The sequence below is a fragment of the Homo sapiens genome, chromosome 15, assembly GCF_000001405.40.
Source record: "Homo sapiens chromosome 15, GRCh38.p14 Primary Assembly".
NCBI classification, from domain to species: domain Eukaryota; kingdom Metazoa; phylum Chordata; class Mammalia; order Primates; family Hominidae; genus Homo; species Homo sapiens.
The window spans coordinates 58,745,668-58,771,280 of NC_000015.10; the positions used below are offsets into that span (position 1 = coordinate 58,745,668).

The window sequence follows — 25,613 nt, forward strand, 5'->3', positions numbered from 1 at the left end:
AGTTGGAGCCATCTATACAAGATAAAGCTAAGGCAGAGATGGGAACAACATACCCACAGTACCCAAGCAGGTAACAAAAATGAGTGAAAAAGGCCAGGTGTATCATTAGGAATGATGGGGACTGCAGTAACCGGTAAGCACATACCCAGTTTAAAGAGGGTGGCTACTGCCCTACTGCTCAGCTCTGCACAATAGGAATACAGCCCACTAGTATCTGGATTTCCAAGTCTTCCCCGAAAATCCAGAAATCCATGAATTTCACTGAGAAATATCCCAATTTTTCAATGTTAATCATTAGCTCAAACTTAAAGACACTGTGAATAAAACATATCTCTAAGGTAGTTTAGTCCAGAGGCCACCTTTGAGCTAATGTATGAAAGCCGCTTTCAAAAAAGGCATGAAGGGGCAATGGATAAAAAGCTTATTAGGGTTTAAGGTCAAACCAGCTTGAGTTCGAATGTCCAATTCACCACTAAGTGGTGGATGATGCTAGAAAAATTATATTTCCAAGTCTGTTTCTTCAACTGCCTATCACCCCTCTCTCATAACTGTTGAAAAGTGAAACTCCTAACACAGTATTAGACACACAAAAGGCATCATGGAAATGTTCCATTTGCCCCAAGCCCTACAACCCTTAAGGTCCTTAGAAAAATTTTAAAGAGATCAGATAATACACATCCTTGAAGATCTTAAACAAGTTACTAAAAGCACATCAGAGAAGTGCCTGCCATGCCTGCTGGGAGAGGCTGTACACATACACACAGAAAATACCATTAATGTAGGCAATGGTACCTTCCTACAACTACAACATAGGATGGGACTGTGCCGGAAATGGGCACCATCAGGAAAGTTTACATTTTATGATTCTAAACACTTTAATTCTTCCTTCTGGCTTCCCATCCTAGTAATATGTAATATGTAAATTTTTCTTGTTAAGAAAAATGTCTTAAGACAAGGAATTGGCCAGTCAGGGTGGCTCATGCCTGCAATCCCAGCACTTTGGGAAGCCAAGGTAGGTGGGTCGCTAGGGACGAGGAGTTTGAGACCAGCCTGGGCAACGTATTAAGACCCCATCACTACTTTTTAAAATAAATAAACAAAATAAAACATTTTTTAAAAAAGATGATGGAGTTAACTGGACTCAAACTGAAGTTTTAAAAAGATGAAGAGTCAGAGATCCTTAAGGATAAAGACAAAATTAGTCTGTCTCTTTCATTAAATTCTTATTTGCTGGTAGATTCCGACTCAGAGTCAGAGAAAGTTTAACTGCTTAAGCTCTACTACCTTTAAAGCTCTGGTCAAGTTTCCAGAAAACTTATTTCTATTGAGCAGTAATGTACAAAGCTAAGCACTTACATCAGATTTTTAAATGTAAGAGACATATCATACTCTGAAGTTCATTTCGGGCATGATTTCATCAAACCAAAACATTATGGAATTTACTGCTACAGCTGAAATGCCTTTTGTGCTCTCAAACACACCAGTTAAATTTTAAAAATAAAATAAAAAAACATGGTTTGCTCCTACAACTACAACATAGGATGGGGCTGTGCTGGAAATGGACACCATTAGGAAAGTTTGTTTTATGATTCTAAACACTTTAATTATTCCTTCCAGCTTCCCATCCTAGTAATATACAGAGCAAGAAAAATTTCACACACAACAGTGACTGACAAATTGGGGAGGTGGAAGCAACAAAAAGGATTTATTAACTACCTGAAAATGATTTACATTTTAAGTTAAATTTCCACCACAACTTCTAATCTACACAAATTTCTCCTTTCTCTCATATGCTAAAACAAATACATTCAATCTCAATGTGCTGAAGTCTACAAATCATCATACAAAGATCTTACAAGTGACCAAAAATAGCTCAGATTAGTAGATAAAAATACCCCATAGTTACAATAAAATTACAAGTATCTCCAAGTACCCAAAAGCTAGAATCTTGATACTAATTTTAAAATAAAACTAATAAAACTTGTCTTATGTTTTTTGAAAAAGTTCTGCTTAACAAAAACACCAAAAATTAGCCTTTTAACCAATGCTTAATGCAATAAAGGACTCTGGAAATATGAATTTAGAAAATTTTTGTATAAGAGTTTTAACCCACAAACATGTTATTCAATTGTTTTTTCTTCAAATATAAGACTACATCAGTTTCTTACTGTTTTCATTATTTTTAAAAGAACATTTAGTATACTACTACTCAGTAAAGTGCCTCATGTGTTTGTCTTACTTTTTATTACCTTATAGAGAACAGTGTCTTAACTCCTGAATTTAATCACAAAAAGTGAAAAAAGATAGGAAAACGATTTGTTGAAAGCCACGTTTAGAACAGAAATAACAAATGTCAGATGAAAAAGGCTCCTCTAACAGAGAGTCTCCCGCACATAATCCTTTTTAAAACTAAACATCTATTATCAGCTCTTAATCTATAATGTGTGTCTTGCTTGATGAATTGGATTGAAAAAAATTAAATAAAACGTGTAACAAAAAAATGAACACTACAAACTATAACAGAAGTCTGCCTACGCAGTACCACCCTCGGACTCGGTAGAATACAGGACAGAAATACACTTGGTCCTGCAGTCATAAGTCAAAGTGGCAAAGAAAAAAACAGAAACAATACATTACATGAAATAGATATTTTCTAAATTATCAAAGGCTACAGACACTCATCCAAAGCATTCCTCAAATTTTTTCAATCGTTGCTTTTAGGCACACCTTGAGGTTTTTAAGTTTACTCTGGGGCAAGTCAAAAAGCTTACCTAAAATAAAGCACTTTAAGCAAGAATAAAATGATGCAGCTGGTCCTAGAACACACCGGAAATAAAAATCGTTGTCTTCAAAACCCGAAACAAGAAATGACATGCTTTTAGCAAATTTGACTTTCATGTGCAGGGGGGAGGGGGCACTGTTTTGACAATCCACTAACTACACTGTACATCTACTCCACCTGAAAGTTTAACGAAACTCTTCAAGTTGGGTCACCCAGGGACCGAACTTCTACTCTAAGAGACCCAATCCAGCCTACAAATCAAAGAACATCCCCAAATGGTTTACCCTTCTCCCGACCAAACCCTTTCCCCTGGGCGACAGAATGTTTTCAAGAACACCAACACACCCTCCTGTGATCTCTCTCCAAACACAGGACACAGGAAGAACCGAGGCCACTAGTCTCAGATAAGCGGGTGATGACTGCTGCCACTCCACGGGCGGCCCCTCTGCAGAATGGGGTCGGTCAGGACCGGCGCGCCGGGTAAAGAACAATACACGAGCCCAGCTGCAAACAACACAACTTCCCACGAGTCTGCGCGGCGGGTCTCGGCGGCGGAGAGGACTTCGGAATCCGCCACCGGGCAGGGGCTGGGGGAGGAATGGTGAGCAGGATGAGCGCTGAACGAGGACGGCGAGACCGCCAGCCTCGCTGCGGCTGCCTGCACCGGCGCCCGCCGAGCAGACTGGAGGGATGCAGCCACCAGCCTGGGTTCCACCGCTCTCACCAGGCGACGCGGATGCCCCGACTTCGCTTCTCTGGGAGGCGACCCCCGCCTCCCGGGGCCGCCAGGGCGGTGGGGGGCGGGGAAGGCCTCGCCGGAGGCTTGGGAGCCTCCTCGGCCCGCCACCGAAGGGAAAGCGGTCGGGGCGCGGGGGACAATAGGGAGCGGGGAGCGCGGCCCGCCAGAGTGGCGCCGCTGGCCGGCTGGGCTGACTGACGCGCACGCCGCGAGGCGCGACTGGGCTCCGCTCGGCCCGGCCGCCGCTCCGCCGTGGTCGCGGCGCCCCCGGCGCTCGCAGTCGTGCCTCACCTCCCATCCCCGCCGCCCAGGAGAGGAGCAGAATTAACACTCTCAGCAACACCATCTTCCGCTGCCGCTGCCGCCGCCGCCGCCTCCTCACGGGTTAACAGCAGCACATCGATCCGGAGGGAGAAGCTGAAGGGGCTTGGTCCGGAGCCTCCACGGGAAGCCGGGACCTCCCCTGGCAGGAGAAACGGCGAAGCACCTCCCTCTCGCTCCACTTCAGGGGCCGGCAACGCTCCTAGCTCCTCCAAAACAGGGACCTCCCTCCCCCTCGTTCGTTTCCTTCCTCCTTTCCCCGCTTTCCTTCCCTTGCTCGTTCCCTCTTCTCTCCCCCCCTCCTTCGAAACTCAGACCTCCGCCTCCTTCCTCACCACGTGACGCGCGGGCACCCAACTGGCACGCGGAGCCGCGCCCCTACCTCCCGCCCCTACCCGTCCCCCAGGCGCTTCAGGGGCGCGCGCATGCGCGCGGGGGACGGTTCCCGTGCTGCTAGGCCTGCCGCCGCTTCCTGTCCGCCGGCGGAGAGCTGGGATTGGGCTTGGGAGGCGGGGTTTGTCCTGGTCCCGCCCCGGGGCGGGAGCGCTCCTACGCGGAGATAGTGCTCCGCTACGTGTTAGAGCTGCTGAGGACCTTCCCTTGGGCTAAAATGGTCCGTGGAAGATGTAAGCAGGGCTGCTTTCGACTTCTTAACGTCACAAGTAACAGAGGTTTTTTTTCTTCTTTTTCTGCCTCTCTTGGTGCACCACAGCTACCAAGTAAACAAAAAGTCCCAACAAGCAGTAATTATAGCGGCAGCTGCCCCAGTGATGCGAACATAAATGCAAAGACCTTCAAGCAGCAGGAAAAAAAGACACCATGTCCGAGATGTAATTTTCCGAGCTCTTTACAAATTTATGTCACAGACTAAGGCTTTAGCCTTTGCAAAAGCATGCAACCTGAACCAGACTGTCTTGAATCTCCAGTCCAGAAAATGTCCTCTTTTCTCTCTGTCACATCTTTGAAGCGAATCCACGCACATCTTCTCCCCAACTTCTTAAAGCTTGTGTTTGTTTTCTCGTAACTCATTTTGATTCTTTAAACTTGGATGTCATGAACTAGAACTTTTTATGGCCATTTAATTAGATATTCTTCATCTATTTGGTATCGTGCTTGAGTAGGCCGAATTAGGGAGAGTGTGTGTGTGCGTGTGTGTGTGTGTGTATGTGTAAATTGTTTTGTTTTGCTTTCTAAAGACAAGGTCTCCGCTGTCTCGCCAGGCTGAAGTGCAGTGGTGTGATCATAGCTCACTGTAACCTCCAACTCAAGCCGAATTAGGGAGAGTGTGTGTGTGTGTGTGTGTGTGTAAATTGTTTTGTTTTGCTTTCTAAAGACAAGGTATCCGCTGTCTCGCCAGGCTGAAGTGCAGTGGTGTGATCATAGCTCACTGTAACCTCCAACTCAAGCGATCCTCCCGCCTCGGCCTCCCACAAGTGCTGGGATTACAGGCGTGAGCCACTGCGCTCGGCCTTAATGTTATTGATACTGTAATAAACTGGAATTCCTATACTGTTACCTGTATATTTTATACCATTTATTACCATTAACATAAGTGAAGAGAATTTTTTTTTTTTTGAGACGGAGTTTCGCTCTCGTTGCCCAGGCTGGGGTGCAATGGTGTGATCTCGACTCACCGCAACCTCTGCCTCCCAGGTTCAAGCGATTCTCCTGCCTCAGCCTCCCAAGTTGCTGAGATTACAGGCATGCACCACCACGCCCAGCAAATTTTTTGTATTTTTAATAGAGACGGGGTCTCACCATGTTGGTTAGGCTGGTCTCGAACTCCCAACCTCAGGTGATCCGCCCGCCAGCCTCCCAAAGTGCTGGGATTACAGGTGGGAGCCACCGAGCCTGGCCATAAGAGTCTTCTTTAATTCTCAGTTTGAGAAATGAATGATTCTAGTTTTGCTGCAACATTAATAGGCTCAAAAACGGACGTTTCAAAACCATCATAATTGTATCCATTTATAATGAGATACATGGAATCATCAAAGGATGGCAGAATCTCACGAATGGTTTTTTTTTCCTTCATTAAAATATTCAGTCTTAGGAAATAGTTACCTGCAGACATTACATCTCATATCACCTGTGCTTTTTACTAATCTCTTGTGGTAGTGCTGTCAACAAATGATATTTTTATTTTCCAGCTCTTAAACCACCTTATAGCATGTTTTCTGTTGCACAGTATTTTTATAATGAATTCCAGTGATTAGAGGCAAATGGCACTTTCCCTTAAAATTCAACTGGAAAAAACTCCAAAGCCATATTTTGCATTACTAAGATGATTACTGAAAATTACATTTATAAAGACTGTATTTTTTTTTTTAATTTTTAAAATGTATTTATTTTGGCCAGCCACGGGGCTCACAGCTGTAATCCCAGCACTTTGGGAGGCCAAGGTCCGCAGATCACTTGAGGTCAGGAGTTTGAGACCAGCCTGGCCGACATGGTGAAACTCCGTCTCTGCTAAAAATACAAAAATTAGCCAGGCGTGATGGCGGGCGCCTGTAGTCCCAGCTACTCGGGAGGCTGAGGCAGGAGAATGGCGTGAACCCGGGACGCAGAGCTTGCAGTGAGCCGAGGTCGCGCCACTGCACTCCAGCCTGAGCGACAGAGCTAGGAAAAAAAAAAAAGCCGGGCGTGGTGGCCTGTGCCTGTAATCCCAGCTATTCTGGAGGCTGAAGCAAGTAATCCCAGCTACTCAGGAGGCTAAGGCAGGAGAATCACTTGAACCTAGGAGGCGGAGGTTGCAGTGAGTCGAGATGGCGCCACTGCACTCCAGCCTGGGAGACAGGGCAAGACTCTGTCTCAAAAAAATTAATTAATTAATTAATTAAAAATAAAAATCAAATAGCCAGTGCAGTGGTATGCACTTGTAGTCCCAGGTACTCGGGAGGCCGAGATGGGAGGACTGTTTGAACCCTGGAGGTTGAGGTTGCATTGAGCTGTGATCACACCACTGCACTCCAGCCTGAGTAACACAGACAGACCTTGTCTCAAAAAAAAAGAAAAACTGTATTTTTTTTATTTGTCAAGCACGAATGGCATTACATACCAGCATGCACGAATGGCATTACATACCAGCATGATAATGAATGGTATTCCAGTGTTACAAGTTTGGGCTACTATTTTAACTTAATTCATTATTGATATTTTGCAAATGTATGGAAAACTGATGAAATATTAAAGTATAAGGTCTGCATCTACACTATCACAGACTGCCTGGGTTTCACTCCTAGCTCTGCCATCTATAAACCGTGTGACTTTTGCCAAGTTTTTTTGCCTTCTAACCTCAATATTTCTTTTCTTTTCTTTTCTTTTTTTTTTTTTTAGACAGGAACTCACTTTGTCACCCAGGCTGGGGTGCAGTGGTGCAACCACAGCTCACTGTAGCCTCAGCCTCCAGGGCTGAGGTGATCCTTCCCCTCAGCCTCCCAGGTAGCTGGGACTGCAGATGGGGGGGCCCCACGCCGGGCTAATTTGTTGTATTTTTTGTAGAGATGGGGTTTCACCATGTTGCTCAGGCTGGTTTCAGACTCCTGGGCTCAAGTGATCTGCCCACCTTGGCCCCCTCAAAGTGCCAGGATTACAGGTGTGAGCCACTGCACCTGGCCTCAATATTTCTTTTGTAAAATGACAATGAAAAAATATTTGCCTCAGCAGATTGTTTTGATGATTACATTTAAATTAGTTAATATCTGTTATTAGTTACTTTTAACTAATTTAACTAATAATTTTAACTAATTATCTTCTAATATTAGTTAATAGACCTGGAATATAATAATTGCTATGTAACTATTAAGTAAAAAAAATGTAACTATTATGGTCACTGCATGAACACTCAAACATCCACTTGAAAGCCGTAATTATTTTAATAGCATTATTTCCTCAGGAACAATACAGTTTTGATATTACCAGTATAATAAAAGTTATCCTCAAGTTTTAGTAATGGGAAATTCAGCTTTTAAGCAAATGCTCATATATTATACAGTGTAATAGACAAGTAATACTAGAGGAGAATGCTTGTTGCACAGACCGAAGGCCAATGCTGGTAAACATTTCAACAATTACATTGTGAATTTCCAAATTCTACTAAACTGCCTGCTGGATGTCCCACTGTCATGCCAAACTCAATATATTTAACTTCTTATCTCTGATACTGGCACTACCACTATCCCAGAAACCTGGAATCATTTTAGCCTGGGCACTGCAGCTCACGCCTGAAATCCTAGCAATTTGGAAGGCCAAGGCTGGAGGATCACTCGAGCCCAGGAATTTGAGACTAGCCTCAACAACATAGTGAGATCCCATCTCTATTTAAAAAAAAAAGGGGGGGAATCATTTTAGATTATTCTTTTGTCACCAAGTCATATTGATTATTCCCTAAAAATGTCTTTGTGCCTTTAATGCTCCCCTTCTCACTGCTGTTGCTCTGATTGGCTAGCACTCTGAAACTATTCCAGTGTTACAAGTTTGGACCACTGCTTTACTTTAATTATAGTATTTTATCTAGCTTAGATTGCTGCAGAACACCTAACTTATATCCCTTACTCCAGTCTCTCTTCCTTTTGGTCCTGCTTTTAAACTGCTTGTTAATCCACCGCAATTTGTTCCCACCTAGCTTTGTAAGAAGCTACTCTTGCTAGGGCCATCAAAGACATCAAAGATGTGTTAGTGATCAATTCCACTAGACATCTTCACTCCTTATCTTACTGGACCTTTCAGACAACACTCTCTCCTCAAAACTCCCTCTTCTAACAGTTTCCAAACCTTCACTCACTCTGGACTTTCTTCTTTACTTTAATTGTACTTTCCTCTACATCTTTTTCCTGTGACTTTTTCTTCTCTTTACTGCACAATTAGTGATCTTCAAGATTTTACCCTTGGCTTTCTTATCTTCTCATTTTCACTTGCATGATATTTTACTACCCCCAAATGTATGCAACTCATTAGGCTATAAACTCCGTGAAAACAAAGCCTGGGTCTGTCTTGACAATGCCTATCACATTGTCAGCACATTTCCTGGAACAGTATTCCAATCACTTTTTCTTGGAACATTTCCTATGCCCCCAAACCCAAGACCCATATCCTAGTTGCACAACTTCCTAGCCACCTGACCTTAGGTAAGTTAAGGCACCTGTTGCACAGTTTCCTAATCTTTACAATGGGGAAAATAGTGGTATCTACTTCAGAGCGTTGCTATAGGAGTCAAATAATTTAACAGATGTAAAGCACTAAGAACAGTGCATAGCATACAATTACTATTATAAAATATTTTAGATGTTGTTATTATTACATATCCAACTCTTACTAGTCATCTCCTACCTGAAATTACACAGCCATACTCCGTAACATGTCCCAAACTGAAAAACCCCTACATCAACCTACCCAAACCTTCTCTTCCTCCTAAATTCCCTATTTAGGTTAATGGCAACACCATCCACTCAATTACCTAAACTCCCATCCCAGTAGATAGATTATCAAGTCACCTTTATTCTCCATTGTATGAAGTCCCTCTACCTACCTTTACTGCCACTGCCCAAGCCTTGGTCTTCCTGTCTCACATACCCACTGCCTGACCTCCTGCCCACCGCTTCCCCACCTGCCAGTCTTTTGAAAATATAGATCCTTTTATCTGCAAGATAAAATACAAGACCTTCAGTCGGGCGCAGTGGCTTACACCTGTAATCCCAGCACTTTGGGAGGCTGAGGCAGGTGGATCACCTGAGGTCGGGAGCTCGAGACCAGCCTGACCAAAGTGGAGAAACCCCATCTCTGCTAAAAATACAGAATTAACCGGGCATGGTGGCACATGCCTGTAATCCCAGCTACTCGGGAGGCTGAGGCAGGAGAATCGCTTGAACCCAGGAGGCAGAGGTTGCGGTGAGCCAAGATTGCGCCATTGCACTCCAGCCTGGGCAACAAGAGTGAAACTCCATCTCCATCTCAAAAAAAAAACAAAAAAAACAAGACCTCATGATCTAGTCATTGTTTTCCTTGCCAGCTTTGTCTTTCACCACTCTTTTTTTTTTTTTGACACAAAGCAGTCTGATCACACATAGTCCAAGAATACTCAAAAAATAAATGAAAGAGAATCAGATGTTTAAGACTGGTCTTCAAACATTATAGCCAGTGATGCCATGTTTGCCTTTGTGCTCTTGGATATAAAATCACATCCACACCTCAGTGGCCACCAAACCATTCAGCATAGCTTCCTTAACTGTGAGCTGTTTGAAGCTATCAGTTTGAGAGTTACTGAGTGGTTTTTTTGTTGTTGTTTTGAGACAGAGTCTCGCTCTGCCACCCAGGCTGGAGTGCAGTGGCGCGATCTCGGCCCACTGCAACCTCTGCCTTCCGGCTTCAAGGAATTCTCCTGCCTCAGGCTCCAGAGTAGCTGAGATTACAGGCACGTAATTAGCATGCCCGGCTAATTTTTCTATTTTTTTTTAAGTAGAGACAGGGTTTCACCATGTTGCCCAGGCTGGTCTCGAGCTCCTGACCTCAAATGATCTGCCCCCCTCGGCCTCCCAAAGTGCTGAGATTACAGGCGTGAGCCACCGTGCCCAGCTATTTTTTTTAAAGCTCTGAATAACTAGGAATCTAAGCAGGACTTGGAGGAACCAGCTCAACCTTGGCACAGTGCCAAAATATAGCCAACCAGGTTTTCAAGTAAGTCACAGCAGTGTTCGTTGGTGGTGTTGGGGCCTTCTCAGTAATGTTTTAGACAAACTGGGCCATGTTTCTAGGATGAAAAGTCTGCTGTCCCCAATGTCCAGCTCTTTCCTACTTTATCTTCTAAAAGTAGCAATTGCAAAAATTACAATAACAATAATAGCTAGCAGGTCGGGAGTTCGAGGAGTGGTAAGGTAATGGCAACTTAAATAACTTGCCCAAAATCAGAAAGCTGGTGCATGGCAGAACCAATGCCTAAAGTTAGATCTGCCTCAAGAGCATGTGCTTTAATCACAATATGCTGCTGTTCAACTGCAGTTGGTTTCCCAAACACATATCACTTTCCTCTTCGACATCTCTGCACATGTTATTCCCTCCAGGAGGAATGCTTCTCCCATTTATCCTATAAATTCTATGAAATTAGGCTCAGAGAATCCTTTCAATAATTCATTTTAAGACACTTTTTTGTTAGGATTTTACTTTCTGTATAAAAGAGGAATCAGAGAAGAAAAGGACTTTAAAAATCCCTTCTGGGCCTGGGCACGGGGGCTCATGCCTGTAATCTCAGCACTTCGGGAGGCCCGGACAAGAGGATTTCTTGAGTCCAGGAGTTCAACACCAGCCTGGGCAATATAGCAACACCCTGTCTTCTTTTTCTGTTTCTTTCTTTTTTTTTTTTCCTAAGAGATGGAGTCTTGCTCTGTAGTCCAGGCTGGAGTGCACTGGCATGATCTCGGCTCATTGCAACCTCTGCCTCCCAGGTTCTAGCAATTCTTCTGCCTCAGCCTCCCACGTAGCTGGAATTATAGGCACATGCTGCCACGCCCGGCTAATTTTTTGTGTTCTAGTAGAGAATGGATTTCACCGTGTTGCCCAGGCTGGTCTCGAACTCCTGAGCTCAGGCTATCCACCCGCCTCGGCCTCCCAAAGTGCTAGGATTACAGGCATGAGCCACTGTGCCTGACCTTTTTTGTTTGTTTGTTTGAGACAGAGTCTCACTTAGTCACCCAGGCTGGAGTGCAGTGGTGAAATCTCGGCTCAAGGCAACCTCTGCCTCCTGGGTTCAAGCAATTCTCATGCCTCAGCTATCCAAGGAGCTGGGATTACAAGCATGCACCACCATTCCCGGCTAACTTTTGTATTGTTAGTAGAGACAGGGTTTCACCATGTTGGCCAGGCTGGTCTTGAACTGCTGACCTCAGGTAATTTGCCCGCCTCAACCTCCCAAAGTGCTGGGATTACAAGCATGAGCCACCGTGCTTGACCAACGAGATCCTGTCTCTACAAAAAATAAAACAATTAGCCGAGCATGGTGGCACATGCCTGTACTCCCAGCTACTTGGGAGGCTGAGGTGGGAGGATCACTAGAGCACAGGAGGTTGAGACTGCAGTGAGCTATGATCACACCAGTTTACTCCAGCCTGGGCAACACAGTGAGACCCTGTCTCAAAATTAAAAAAAAAAAAATCCACGTCTAGGGAAAAGAGAACAGTGAAATACGGTATTTATAACTTACAGCAATTAGAACACATTCCCTTAAAATGTAAAGGAATAGACATTCTTAAATATATGGCTCAGGCTTCTTCCCTTCTGTAAAATTTTAAACTTGCCCTCTAGACAAAACTTAATGTCTACCATTTACATAATTCTAATGTAGCTTTATCAAACTATATTGTATTTTTTAAAATATCTTCCCTATTCTATTTAGAATGTCTATTCTAATGGAATAGACAGTCTTGCTCTGTCACCCAGGCTGGAGTACAGTGGGACTCACCACAGCCTCAAGCTCCTGGGCTTAAGTGATCCTCCTGCCTCATCCTCCTAAGTAGCTGGGACTATAGGTATTAGGTATGCACTGCCATGCTCCACTATTTTTTTTTTTTTTTTTTTTTTGTAGACACAGGATCTTTCTATGTTGTCCAGGCTGGTCTTGAACTCCTGGGCTCAAGTGATCCTCCCTCCTCAACCTCCCAAAGCACTGGGAGTATAGGCATGAGCCATCGAGCCTGGCCAAAAATTTTTTTTCTCAATTATTCATCAATATTAAATAATTGTAAGGTTTCATGGTTAAACCAAGATTCTAGATTTTCTGTGGAAACTGAAAGGTCAAGCCGACCTAGATTCTTGCACAGAATCAATTGGCAGAAACTGAGTAGAGGCTGCCCTCTTTGGACAGGGTTTGTCTAATCTAACCCCACTCCAGTTATCCCTGTCAGTATTTGAGTTTATGACCCGTTTTAAAAACTAGACCAAGTTCAAAATGGTCCTTGAAGTTTTTTCCTAGATCCCCCTTGCCATAGTAATCTCAATCACATTTTAGTCTGAAACACCTATGATTTATATCTCTCATCTGCAATTAACCATGTGTTACTTTCTGGAAATTCTATTATCCCAGTGTTAAGGACAGCAGAGATAGGAAAGTTTTGAGGCAAAGCAGAGGACAACCCACAACGTTACAGGATGGCAATGATAATAATCATTCATTCATTTGACAAGTATTTATTTTGTTCCTACTATGGGGATTTCCAGATTACCAAAACAAAACAAAACATGATCCTGACATGGTACCAGGTACCTTGGTAAGAAATTTATGTACATGATTCCATTTACTCTTTGTAACAATGCTATGAATTAGATATATCTCATTTAACAGATGAGGAAACAGGCAGACCAGGCTTCTAATCGAAGTTTGTTTGACTCCAAATCTTGTAGTCTGGTCTTTTGAATTACTGGGTAAATGCATCCTTATTATCATTGCCATGGTCCAGAATCTACCTGTTAGCTTTCAAGGCCCAGAAGCTAGATTTTTCTCAGTGCAACCTGATTTGATCAACTGACAAGCACTAATTTATAGGAGCTAAACTCTTAAGGGACTTAGGTCTTAAAATGTCACCTCATAATTTTATGAGTTAGCTATTCATGTTAGCAAGTCAATGCATTATTTCTTGTCAATAGTTGAGAAGCTAAAGCATAATTCAAAGTGGCTTAGTAAGCAAGGCATCACTGAAGAAAAAATTAACTGAATGATTTTGCTGGCTAATTCATCCAACTATTCAACTTACCATGCCACAGTAGAATCTATCGAGGGAATAGATAGGTACCAGACCATCCACATGTTCAGGGGACCTCCACAATAGATGGTGATCAAAGCATACTTCAGCAAACCCTTACACTGTGGGATATTCTCTGGACTCCATGCAGACCACCGTCTCCCTTCCAGTTATTATATGCTTTCTTTGGGAATAATATAATTGTTTAGACCACTTTTTTTTGCATTTATTCAGACTTTGATTCTATTTCCAGCCTTACTCTCACTTCTTTTAAACACTGAACGAATCCTATCTTCTAAAGTAACTGTTACAAATAGCTAAGCTGGCTGGGCACCGTGGCTCATGACTGTAATCCCAGCACTTTGGGAGGCCAAGGCAGGTGGATCACAAGGTCAGGAGTTCGAGACCAGCCTGGCCAATATGGTCAAACCCCGTCTCTACTAAAAATATAAAAAATTAGGCCAGGCACAGTGGCTCATGCCTGTAATCCTAGCACTTTGGGAGGCTGAGATGGGCAGATTGCCTGAGCTCAGGAGTTCGAGACCAGCTTGGGCAACATGGTGAAACCCCATCTCTACTAAAATACCAAAAAAAAAAAAAAATCAGCCGGGCGTGGTGGCAAGTACTTGTAATCCCAGCTACGTGGGAGGCTGAGACAGGAGAATTGCTTGAACTCGGTAGGCAGAGGTTGCAGTGAGCCGAGACCATGCCACTGAACTCCAGCCTGGGCAACAAAGTGAAACTCTTTCTCAGAAAAAAAAAAAAAAATTAGCCGAGTATAGTGGCAGGTGCCTGTGGTCCCAGCTACTTGGGAGGCTGAGGCAGGAGAATTGCTTGAACCCGGGGGGCGGAGGTTGCAGTGAGCCGAGTTCGTGCCACTGCACTCCAGCCTAGGCAATAAGAGTGACACTCCATCTAAAAAAAAAAAATAGCTAAGCTGATTCATTCTGTTGATTTGGTTAATTATCATCTTACTGAGAAGCACTTCATACTACCCCTTAAGCAATGTCTATAGGGGTCATATTTTTATTTTACTTGTAGACACTTACGTTTTGTCTTCCTAACCACATTGTGACCAACTTGAGGGCAGTGGCAATAATAATATATTTGAAAATATCTTTATAATTTATAAACTCTTTATTATAAGTTCCATTTCTTCACAGTACCACACAGCAAAATTAACCAAGCTATTTTCCTCCTGGTTTTTGTTTCTTTGTTTGTTTTTTTAATAGGAACCATTCAGACTGCATCCTTTGCCTCTTACTCTCCCAAAGGAAGAGAAGAACAATCATCAATGGCAAATGGCAGTTGCAGTGAAGCAACACCAGGACCCGGCTTCACGCTCAGGAGAGAACGCTGCGCCTCCTCCTTGTGGTTTCTGGTGTTCTACACATTCAGAGAAAATTCTCTAGTAACGAACTATACAAATGATCCCTGAAAGTATAGTCTTCCTTTTTTTTTTTCTTTTACAAAATGTGAAAACTGAAGAGAGGTTAATTTACGAATTTAATTTTACCCAAGCTTGTAAAATTAGTCAGTGGCAGGACCAGGTTCTTGTGGTCTCCATTCATCACACTTTCGGTTACATTGGGTTGCCTCCATGTGACCATGCTTCATATTCTCTTTTGTGCCCCAAAGCACCACATCTAGATAGTCAGTGAAAATTATGGAGGTTCATTATTGTGATTATAAACCAAATGGGTCAGAATTCTTACTGTATGCATATTAACAATTGACAACTATACTTCTCAACAATGCAAGTAGTTTTTGACTGATATCATTCTAGGTCAGTGTTCCTCAATGTATAGCTAGTGAAATACCTGCATTAGAGTTACTTAGGATGCTTATCAAAACCACAGAGTCCCCAGCCTGGGCAATACAGAGAGAACTCATCTCTACAGATAATTTAAAAATTAGGTGTGGTGGCGCACCCCTGTGGTCTCAGCTACTCTGGAGGCTGAGGAGGGAGAATCACTTAAATTCAGGAGGTCAAGACTGCAGTGAGCCCTGATAGCACCATTGCACTCCAGCCTGGGCAACACAGTGAGACCCCATCTCAAAAAAAAAAAAAAAACCTGCAGATTACTGAGCTTTTCTCCAGTTCTGATGAATGGAGTTCCTGGGGATAGAGCCCAGAAACCCATTTTAATAGACTTCCCACATGAGAGTTAATTACACTAAAGTTTGACAACCACTGTTTTAAACAAACACAGTAAGAGATATAGTGAAAATAAAAGACCAGGTACTTCTGGAAAGTCAGTGTCAACATATAAAAATAGTAGAAAAGAGGATATATTTCCTCAATTCTAAGATACCCTCAATTGTAAGATACACCATTGATTTAATAGCAGCTTTTGAAGAAAAGAGTGGTTTACTAGTTTTTCTAAAAAATGGGTATGTTTAGGTTTTGTTTTGAGAAAGCAAAATTAGGCCAGGCGTGGTGTAATCCCAACACTTTAGGAGGCTGAAGGGGGAGGATCATTTGAGGCCAGGAGTTTGAGACCAGCCTGGGAAACATAGCAAGATCCCATTCTCTTTAGCCAAGTGAGGTAGTACATGCTTATAGTCCTAGCTACTCAGGAGGCTGAGGTGAGAGGATTGCTTCACCCAGGAGTTCAAGGCTGTAGTGAGCTATGATTGTGCCACTGCACTCCAGCCTGGGCGAAAGAGTGAAACCTTATCTCAAAATAAATAAATAAATAAATAAATAAATAAATTTCAAAATAGGACTTCTTGAATGTGAGAAAAATCAAACAGAACCACTTGACTGAGAGAATGATATTAATATGAAAAAAAACATGAGACAGACAAGAACCAAAAAAAATTTGACATCAGGATGATAAATATAGTCTTAGACATTACTTCGAAAATATATCTACCTACCTACACACACACACACACACACACACACACACACACACACACACCCCTCAAGGGAAAGTGTATAGAAAAGCATGGCCAAAAGAGCATTGCATAGTAATGAAAAATAATAGTGAATAGAGGGTGAATTTAGAAGCCTCTTGCTGTCTCTTGCTAAGGTTTATTTATTTGTCATGCAAGTGAGAAGGGGTTGCTTCCCCTAATGCTAGAGTAGTAATTCTCAAACTTCATCAAAGATCAGAATCACCAAGAGGTCTTGTGAAAACACACAGCTCCTGATTCTGTAGGTCTGCAGCAGGGCTCAAGAATTTTCATTTTTAACAAGTTCCTAGGTAATACTGACACTACCAACCCAAAAACCACACTTTGAGAACTAGAGTTAACAGATATCTGGCAAACTGGTGGGCTGGCAGGGCAGAAGTACTTCTGAGAAAAGTTCTAAGGAAAGAATGAGGCAGGCATAATACATGTGATTCAATGACAAAACTTTAACCATTGGCCATAAGACTAGGGAAGTAGGGATTCTAAGTTGAAGATGCCATATATTTCTTAAATTCATTTCTGGTGCAACCTACCTGGAATCACATTTCAGTCTCACTTTTAAAAAGGACTACATAAAGGACTACATAAGTAAAACTGAGAGAACTGTTTCATTAATACTGTCGCACATTAGGGCTATAATAAGAGGGAAGAGAAAAATATTTCCCTCCATTCACCATCATGTATTTTTAACATTACCAGGACAGATGGGCATCTGGTAAAACAGCATGGAGTAGAGGCAGCACCTGGTGGAATATCACAGGATTGGACTTGTTTCTAAACAGGTGTGGGACTCCCCATGGGGGCTCTCAGAAATAATTGAGTTGGGGATGTTCTTTGCAGGAGGCTGGAGTTTCTGCAAGCAATTGAAGGCCAGAGCCAGGGCAATTTGAGTTACATGGAAACCTTTGATTTTTAACTCAGAATTTTCTCACATATCTTGAAGAGAAGGTTAAAAGAGGAGGAGTAAATGTATATATACCCTGTACCTGTGCAATCTTCTGGTCTGAGCTAATTTTGATGCAGCTGACAATAAAGAACAATCAATTTATTTTCCATAGCATCATCAACATAATAAAGCCAAGATGTTTGAACTATAGCTCTTGTAGGTTTATGCAGAATAAGATAAGGAAGCGATCATAGGCTGGGGAATAATTAGAATGCTATTACACTCTAGTGGCAAGGAGATAAGGACTCGGGAGTGGCCCCAAAGAGAATGAAGGAAAGGGGTATACAATATCAGCAAGACTTTATCGATGAGATAGTCAACAGTAAACTAGCGTAAAAATCAAAGATGGCACCAAATTTTCTGTCATTGTAGCTAAAAATGTTATGATTCAACTAAGAAAAACTGAATTTTAGGCTGGGCATGGTGGCTCACACCTGTAAACCCAGCACTTTGGGAGGCTGAGGTGGGCAGATCACCTGAAGTTGGGAGTTCGAGACCAGCCTGACCAACATGGAGAAACCCCGTCTCTACTACAAATATAAAATTAGCCAGGCATGGTGGTGCTTGCCTGTAATCCCAGCTACTCAGGAGGCTGAGGCAGGAGAATTGCTTGAACCTGGGAGGCAGAGGTTGCGGTGAGCCGAGATTGTGCCATTGCACTGTGGCCTGGGCAGTAAGAGCAAAACTCTCTCTCAAAAAAAAAAAAAAAAAAGAAGGAAAAAAGAAAAACTGAATTTTAAAAGAATAATCATTTTGATATATTTTTTGGATTTCTTAAGCCTGAGGTAATAATCAGCCTGTTATTTTAATTAGACAAGCACTGTATAGCTTAAATCTCCATTGTTTCACACAAAAACTTTTTTCTTCATCTGAACTTTTATAACATTTACTGTTTGTGCTAGTCATTTAGTGTTCATTATAAAGTGAGTTTTATTCTCAGTGATCATTTCATGTGAACATACTTCTTAATTCCCCAAAGAACTTTGTACTCCCAAAGAATAAGTCCAATGTTTTACACTCATATCCCCCATATCTCTCTCCCTAGCACAATCACTAACTATATGTTCACTAAGTATACTTTTCTGAAGTGTATTGTTCAGATATCTTTTGAAAAATATAAAGGATATATTAAAAGTCATAATCAATATTCTAAAAGATGAAAGGTGAGGATGCCATTAAACAAAAACTAGAATAATTTATTGGAAATTAAATATGTAAAGTAGAAGAAAAAGATGAAGAGTGTAAAATCAGAGAAAAGATAAGAATTATAAAATAAAACCAGATAATTTCACAGAACTGAAGGACATAAGTTTCTACACTGAATGTGATCACACAAGTAGCCAGCCCAATAAACAGAGCAAGACTCACACAAAGATATATCAGATACTGAAATGTCAGAACATCAAGAATAAGGGAAGATCAATAAACTTCAGAGAGAAGGAAGAGGTTATATACAAAGTTTCTGGAGTCACAGTAACATCAGACTTCTCTATAATTACCTGGAAGCTAGAACACAATTGAATAATTACTTTAAAATGAAGAAAAAGTATTTCCAACCTTCGATTTTATACCCAGCCAAACTATAAAATGTAAAAACCTACAAGATCTACAAAAATTTACTTCCCTTGCACTCTTCCTCGGGAAGCTAATTAAGAATACACTTGGGCTGGGCGCGGTGGCTAATGCCTGTAATCCCAGCACTTCGGGAAGCAAAGGTGAGTGGATCACAAGGTCAGGAGTCCAAGACCAGCCTGGCCAAGATGATGAAACTCCATCTCTACTAAAAATACAAAAATTAGCTGGACATGGTGGTGGGCGCTTATAATCCCAGCTACTTGGGAGGCTGAGGCAGAAAATTGTTTGAACCCAGGAAGCGGAGGTTGCAGTGAGCCGAGATCTCACCACTGCGCTCTAGCCTGGGCGACAGAGCTAGATTCCATATCAAAAAAAAAAAAAGGCCAGGTGTGGTGGCTCACGCCTGTAATCCCAGCACTTTGGGAGGCCAAGGCAGACAGATCACAAGGTCATGAGATGGAGACCATCCTGGCCAACATGGTGAAACCCCATCTATACTAAAAATACAAAAATTATCTGGGCATGGTGGCACGTGCCTGTAGTCCCAGCTACTGGGGAGGCTGAGGTAGGAGAATCGCTTGAATCCGGGAAGCAGAGATTGCAGTTAGCTGAGATCACACCACTGCACTCCAGCCTAGTGACAGAGCGAGACTCCAACCCACAAAAATAAAAAATAAAATAAAAATAAAAAAGAATATGTTTGGCTGGGTGTCATAGCACATACCTATATTCCCAGCACTTTGGGAGGCCAAGGCAGGAGGATCACTTGAGGCCAGGAGTTTGAGATAAGGCTGCACAACATAGAACCTATGTTTACAAATAATTTTTTTTTTAAATGAGCCAGGTATGGTGGCATGTGCTTATAATCCTAGCTACTTGGGAGGCTGAGGCAGGAGGACCACATGAGCCCAGGAGTTTGAGGCTGCAATGAGCCACGATCATGTCACTGTATTCCAGGCTGGGTGACAGAGGGAGACCCTATCTCTATTATAAAAAAAAAAATGCATCGTTTTAGAAAAAGGAGATCCAAGAAACAAAGGAATCAACATAGAAGGGATTCCTCAAAAAGTGATCAAGAGAAATCCCAGGATGACACCTGTGTAGCAGGCTTATAAAAGAGAAGTCCGGAGCAGAGCAAGAGAAGTGAGTGTTCCAGGAAGGATGTACCCAGTATTAAAATGGACCTAAGGAATAACTTGGTATGATTGATCATACTGCTAACTCTGTGGCTAAGTTAGTGGGAAGAGAAGAATTAAGCAAATAAACAAAATAATGAGGCAACTGGGTTACTTTTGTTTTTTGTTTGTTCTTTTTTTTCTTTGAGGCAATTGTTAATTCCAAGACAGACAAAAAGTTTAACACAAAAATAAATCACAGTAAAATACCTGACTTAGTGGTGAATACTTACATAGCTCTAATGCTTTAATCTTTGAGTATGTAATAAAAAATTGTTTAATAACTGGAAGATTGGAGCAATAGGAGGAAGAATGATATGAAAGGAAAGAACTAAATCCTCATCTTCCATGGGAATAAATCAATAAACAATATATACAATTATTTTTTTCTGTCCAGTGAATGCAATACAGTGTTTTGGGTTTTTTTAGACGATCTTATTCTGTTACCCAGGCTGGAGTGGAGTGGTGCCATCGTAGCTCACTACAGCCTCGAACGCCTGGGCTCAAGTAATCCTCCCACCTTGGCCTCCCAAAGTGTTGGGATTACAGGCATGAGCCACAGCACTCAGCCTACAACTGTTAAATGTAGAAACCAGAGTGTAAACATGTTTCTCAGAAGCAAGGGTACAAAGAGCTAAAGAACAGCTATGAGGCTGGGTGTGGTGGTGAGCGCCTATAGTTTGTGCTACTCTGGAGGCTGAGTCAGTAGGATTGCTTGAGCCAAGTTAGAGGCTGTAGTGTGCCACAACAGCCACTGTGAATAGCCACAGCACTCCAGTCTGGGCAACATAGTGAGATCGTGTCTCAAAAAAAAAAAAGAAACAGCTATGAGTTGAAAGAGACTGTGAGGCTGTTTATAAAGAACAGGACTCAAGGGTCTGGAAGGACAGAACAGGGAAGTGCGTCGTTTTTATATAAACTATTTAACTTTTAAGACTATTATATCTGAAACTTTGAAAAATAATTTTTAAAATTTGGATAGCAGCCAGGTGCAGTGGCTCATGCCTATAATTACAGCATTTTGAGAGACCAAGTTGGGAGGATTGCTTGTACTCAGGAATTCAAGACCAGCCTGGGCAACATATGCTACAAAAATTTTAAAAACTAGCAGGGCATGGTGATATACACCTGTAGTCCCAGCTACTCAGGAGGCTGAGGCAGGAGGCTCACTTGAACCTGGGAGGTTGAGATTTCAGTGAGCCATGATTGCGCAACTGTGCTCCAGCCTGGTTGACAGAGTGAGACCCTGTCTTAAATAAATAAATTAATTTAATTAAATAAAATTTGGATGGTACTATTTAACTTAAAAACAGCAATCTTACCTCAGAGTTTACCTAAAGATACATATACGCAAAATAAGAATAAAATATCAGTTTGTCTTCTGGTATTCTCCCTAGATGCCACTCCCCACCTCCCTTAAAAAATAACTATGTACCTTTTCATGAACTTAAATAACTACCTATATTTTCACAGCTGTTTATCTAGGCTTAATTGTTGACAACAGCATGAAAAGAAAAACTGGTTCTGTTTGTTACAAAAAAAATATTAAATGATGCCATGTGAGCATTTGAAACGCATACCAATAAAAACTACCACAGCAAGTACAGGTTTATCCAAGTAAAGGTTTTGAAAAATGGTGAAGGGCCATTATTTGAGAAGTGTATGCCATGATTTTTGGCTCTCCTATGGCTCACAGGCCTATAAATGATTCATTCATTTAATTTATTCATATAACACAGCTTTATACATTTCCTTTTTACATTTGAGGTACTATGCTAAATTCTAAATTTCCTGAAATCTGTATTCCTTTTTTTTTTTTTTTTTGAGATGGAGTTACACTCTTGCTGCCCAGGCTAAAGTGCAATAGCGCAATCTCGGCTCACTGCAACCTCTGCCTCCCAGGTTCAAGCGATTCTCCTGCCTCAGGCTACCAAGTAGCTGGGATTGTGGGCGTGTGCCACCACACCCAGCTAATTTTGTATTTTTAGTAGGGACAGGGTTTCTCCATGTTGGTCAGGCTGGTCTTGAACTCCCGACTGCAGGTGATCTGCCTGCCTCAGCTTCCCAAAGTGCTGAGGTGACAGGCCGTGAGCCACTGCGCCCGGCCTTGAAATCTGTATTATTCTTATTTATATTTCATGGCCTAAAATACCGTAAAATGCTTAAACCAGCAGCATATATTTTAATCTATTAACATCTCCAATTCTTTTTTAGGCAGAAAATTCAAATTTAAGAACAGGATTTATTGTTTATGGATTGACATGGAGATCAAAAGCACACACAACTCCTAAATTCAACATTCTGAAAAAGCTCTCCATTATCTTTTCTAATTTTCCTGTTGTCCAAGAGTAGGATGTGGGTGGAGGATTACCTAGGTGCCGAGGCAAGAGACTGAAGGCACAAACTGTTTCAGTATAATAAAGAAAATAGTTAGAATAAGAATAGTCATAATACAAATTAGATATAGAGATGATCATGGACAATTATCAATCATTATTATAAACATGATTAATCATTAGCTTTTAATATTACTCTTTGTTGCATTACTAATATAACCTAGGAATAACCAGCGGGTATAGGGTCAGGTGCTGAAGGGACATTGTGAGAAGTGACCTAGAAGACAAGAGGTGAGCCTTCGGTCACGCCCGCGTAAGGGCCGCTTGAGGGCTCCTTGGTCAAGCGGTAACGCCAGTGTCTGGGAAGGCACCCGTTACTTAGCAGACCGTGAAAGGGAGTCTCCTTTCCTTGGAGGAGTCAGGGAACACTGCTCCACCAGCTTCTTGTGGAAGGCTGGATATTATCCAGGCCTGCCTGCAGTCCTGGGGCCTAAATCCCTCCCTGTGGTGCTGTGCTTCAATGGTCACGTTCCTTGTCCACTTTCATGCTCCTCCCATACTCCTGGTTCCTCTTTGAAGCTCGTAGTAGATAGCGGTAGAAGAAACAGTGAAAGTCTTAAAGTCTTTGATCTTTCTTGTAAGTGCAGAGAAGAAAATGCTGACGTATGCTGCCTTCTCTCTCTGCTTCAGCTACCTAAAAGAGAAGGCCCCCGCCATCCTGTAATCACGTGACTTGCTTCATCTTGTCAATCACTTAAAAGATTCACCCTCCTTACCCTGCCCCCTTGTCTTGTATGCAATAAATATCAGCGAGCCCAGCCGTTCGGGGCCACTACCGGTCTCCGCATCTTTACGGTAGCGGTCCGCCGGGCCTAGCTGTTTTCTCTTTATCTCTCTGTCTTGTGTCTTTATTTATTACAATCTCTCGTCTCTGAACACGGGGAGAACACCCGCTAAGCCCCGTAAGGCTGGACCCTACAGTTGGACATATACCATAGTATCATGTCAATGCGGATCACAAGGTCAGAAGTTAGAGACCAGCCTGGCCAAGGTAGTGAAACCTCGTCTTTACTAAAAATACAAAAAAAATTAGCTGGACCTGGTGGCGTGCGCCTGTAGTCCCAGCTACTTGGGAGGCTGAGGCAGGAGAATCACTTGAACCCGGGAGGTGGAGGTTGCAATGAGCTGAGATGGCGCCACTGTACTATAGCCTGGGTGACAAAGCGAGACTGCGTCTCAAGTGGGAAAAAAAAAAAAAAAAAAAAAAAAAGGGGCACAGTCTTCTGCATTCTCAGGTAAACAAGAATATAAGTATCCAACATTCATGTATTATATGTAATACATATTATGTGTGGCCGGGCATGGTGGCTCACGCCTGTAATCCTAGCACTTTGGGGGCCGAGGTGGGCAGATCACGAGGTCAGGAGATCAAGACCATCCTGGCTAACACGGTGAAACCCCGTCTCTACTAAAAATACAAAAAGTTAGCTGGGCGTGGTGGCGGGCGCCTGTAGTCCCAGCTACTCAGGAGGCTGAGGCAGGAGAATGGCGTGAACCCGGGAGGCGGAGCTTGCAGTGAGCCGAGATCGCGCCACTGCACGCCAGCCTGGGCGACAGAGCAAGACTCCGTCTCAAAAACAACAACAACAACAAATTAGCCAGGCATGGTGGCGGGCGCCTATAGTCCCAGCTACTCGGGAGGCTGAGGCAGGAGAATCGCTTGAACCCGGGAGGCGGAGGTTGCAGTGAGCCAAGATCGTGCCACTGCACTCCAGCCTGGGCGACAGAGAGAGACTCCGTTTCAAAAAAAAAAAAAAACAAAAGCAAAAACAAAAACAAAAAAACATATAAGTATGTATTAAAAAATAGCAATAAGAAAAAAAAAGACAGTAAGCTCCATGAAGATATAAGCTCCGTGATCCACTATGGCATCTCCAGTGACAGACAGCATCCAGCAACTTACTTGGTACTAAAATGTATTAAAGGAATGAATGAAATACTACTTTGCAATCTTGTCTGCCTTCTCTAACCAACAGAGGTGCAAAAATATCACATTCTAATTATGTATCAGGTATTTATATGTCTGCGAAGGAAGACCTGTCTCGTTAATTTTTTATCCCCAACAGCCTAGAAAATGTTGAAAGAAAAAAGATGGGGGAAAAAGCCCTTTTCTGTAACAAGTTAGAATAGGACCCACATACATTTTGTTACTAACAAAACGTCCAGCTTGTCTTTCTTCTTTGAAAACTGCATGGCCTTAAGAGGAGTCCATTCTAATTAGGAAAAAAGTCACCTTTTCAGAAGCAGGCGCTTCCCACTCCATGCAAAGTGAAGCCAAGTTAGCAAAACCGCAAAGACTTGGCTAATTCAAATACAAGCTAATTTATTATTATTGGCGCAAATTAGCCACTTTCTTTTGCTACGCATGTCAATGTCCACAATCATACCGACCCTTTCCTGTAGGGCGAATGTCTCACCAGTAGCTGGTGAGAAGCACAGCTCTTCTCAGCCAAAACCGACAGAGACTGGAATTTGTGCAGTGCAGTAATCCAAAGCCGTCGAGTAGATATGCCTGCTTTAAAATCTGCATCTCGTAAGAAATGCCTTAATTTTCCATATTAGGAGCTGAGAAACCAAGTCCCCTGAGCCCTTCAGGGACAAGTTCTTTTCCAAATACTACAACCACCTCCAACCACCCAACAATGCCTCAGGCCGAGGGTGGGCCACACGCGACCCAGCGCTAAAGGGTCACAGCCAAGCTGTCCGCCTCCTGCCTTCCCTTTAAAGAAGCCGCACACAAGGGAGCTGCCCGGGAGTTCAACTTCCGGCCACATAGTGAGAGGATGTTTTCCTACTGGAGCTGAGCCGCGGGGGCGCGCCCCCCGGCCGCGCCCTCCTAGCCACGCCCTCCACGCCCGGCCTTCCGAGAGCGAGCTCGGTCGGACGCACGGAAAGGGCTGGGCCACGTGGGCGGCTGCTGAGTGGTTCGCCTTCGCCTCTCAGCGCGCAGTCAGGCGGAGGCAAGCTCAGAGCGCACGGACAGAGCGGTAGCGCGCGCCCGCGCGCGTTCTTAGTACTCTCCCCGGTGACGTGCC

The 25,613-nt window shown here is 42.9% G+C and overlaps 1 protein-coding gene, 1 long non-coding RNA gene and 2 pseudogenes across 3 annotated transcripts in view, besides 8 other annotated features; all 4 read right to left on the reverse strand.

Moving 5' to 3' along the window:
* Nucleotides 1-4,040, reverse strand: part of ADAM10 (ADAM metallopeptidase domain 10) — a 160,899-nt gene extending 156,859 nt beyond the window's left edge. For both annotated transcript variants that reach the window (NM_001320570.2, NM_001110.4), the window contains exon 1: nucleotides 3,813-4,040. In NM_001320570.2, the coding sequence (NP_001307499.1) occupies nucleotides 3,813-3,867 (55 nt within the window). In that variant the 5' untranslated portion in view covers nucleotides 3,868-4,040. The remainder of the gene's footprint in view (nucleotides 1-3,812) is intronic.
* Nucleotides 3,173-3,808: an enhancer, noted in NCBI's record as "H3K27ac hESC enhancer chr15:59041039-59041674 (GRCh37/hg19 assembly coordinates)". NCBI's record gives its function as "activates a minimal SCP1, AML or CMV promoter by ChIP-STARR-seq in primed H9 embryonic stem cells {active_cell/tissue: H9 hESC(primed)}" and the evidence as "EXISTENCE:reporter gene assay evidence [ECO:0000049][PMID:30033119]".
* Nucleotides 3,260-3,389: an enhancer, noted in NCBI's record as "active region_9477". NCBI's record gives its function as "activates an Ori minimal core promoter by ATAC-STARR-seq in GM12878 lymphoblastoid cells {active_cell/tissue: GM12878}" and the evidence as "EXISTENCE:reporter gene assay evidence [ECO:0000049][PMID:35858748]".
* Nucleotides 3,500-3,789: a silencer, noted in NCBI's record as "silent region_6481". NCBI's record gives its function as "represses an Ori minimal core promoter by ATAC-STARR-seq in GM12878 lymphoblastoid cells {active_cell/tissue: GM12878}" and the evidence as "EXISTENCE:reporter gene assay evidence [ECO:0000049][PMID:35858748]".
* Nucleotides 4,120-4,409: a silencer, noted in NCBI's record as "silent region_6482". NCBI's record gives its function as "represses an Ori minimal core promoter by ATAC-STARR-seq in GM12878 lymphoblastoid cells {active_cell/tissue: GM12878}" and the evidence as "EXISTENCE:reporter gene assay evidence [ECO:0000049][PMID:35858748]".
* Nucleotides 4,480-4,659: an enhancer, noted in NCBI's record as "active region_9478". NCBI's record gives its function as "activates an Ori minimal core promoter by ATAC-STARR-seq in GM12878 lymphoblastoid cells {active_cell/tissue: GM12878}" and the evidence as "EXISTENCE:reporter gene assay evidence [ECO:0000049][PMID:35858748]".
* Nucleotides 9,962-10,580, reverse strand: LOC100289091 (ATP synthase membrane subunit g pseudogene; annotated as a pseudogene).
* On the reverse strand, nucleotides 14,799-15,014 carry SNORD3P1 (small nucleolar RNA, C/D box 3 pseudogene 1; annotated as a pseudogene).
* MINDY2-DT (MINDY2 divergent transcript) lies at nucleotides 22,405-25,307 on the reverse strand. Its single transcript, NR_135474.1, has 2 exons — nucleotides 24,720-25,307; nucleotides 22,405-23,212 (listed from the first exon to the last, which is right to left on the reverse strand). It is a non-coding gene; the product is annotated as an MINDY2 divergent transcript (long non-coding RNA).
* Nucleotides 24,572-25,497: an enhancer, noted in NCBI's record as "NANOG-H3K27ac hESC enhancer chr15:59062438-59063363 (GRCh37/hg19 assembly coordinates)". NCBI's record gives its function as "activates a minimal SCP1, AML or CMV promoter by ChIP-STARR-seq in naive H9 embryonic stem cells {active_cell/tissue: H9 hESC(naive)}" and the evidence as "EXISTENCE:reporter gene assay evidence [ECO:0000049][PMID:30033119]".
* Nucleotides 24,572-25,589: a biological region, named in NCBI's record as "NANOG-H3K27ac hESC enhancer GRCh37_chr15:59062438-59063363".
* Nucleotides 25,310-25,589: a silencer, noted in NCBI's record as "silent region_6483". NCBI's record gives its function as "represses an Ori minimal core promoter by ATAC-STARR-seq in GM12878 lymphoblastoid cells {active_cell/tissue: GM12878}" and the evidence as "EXISTENCE:reporter gene assay evidence [ECO:0000049][PMID:35858748]".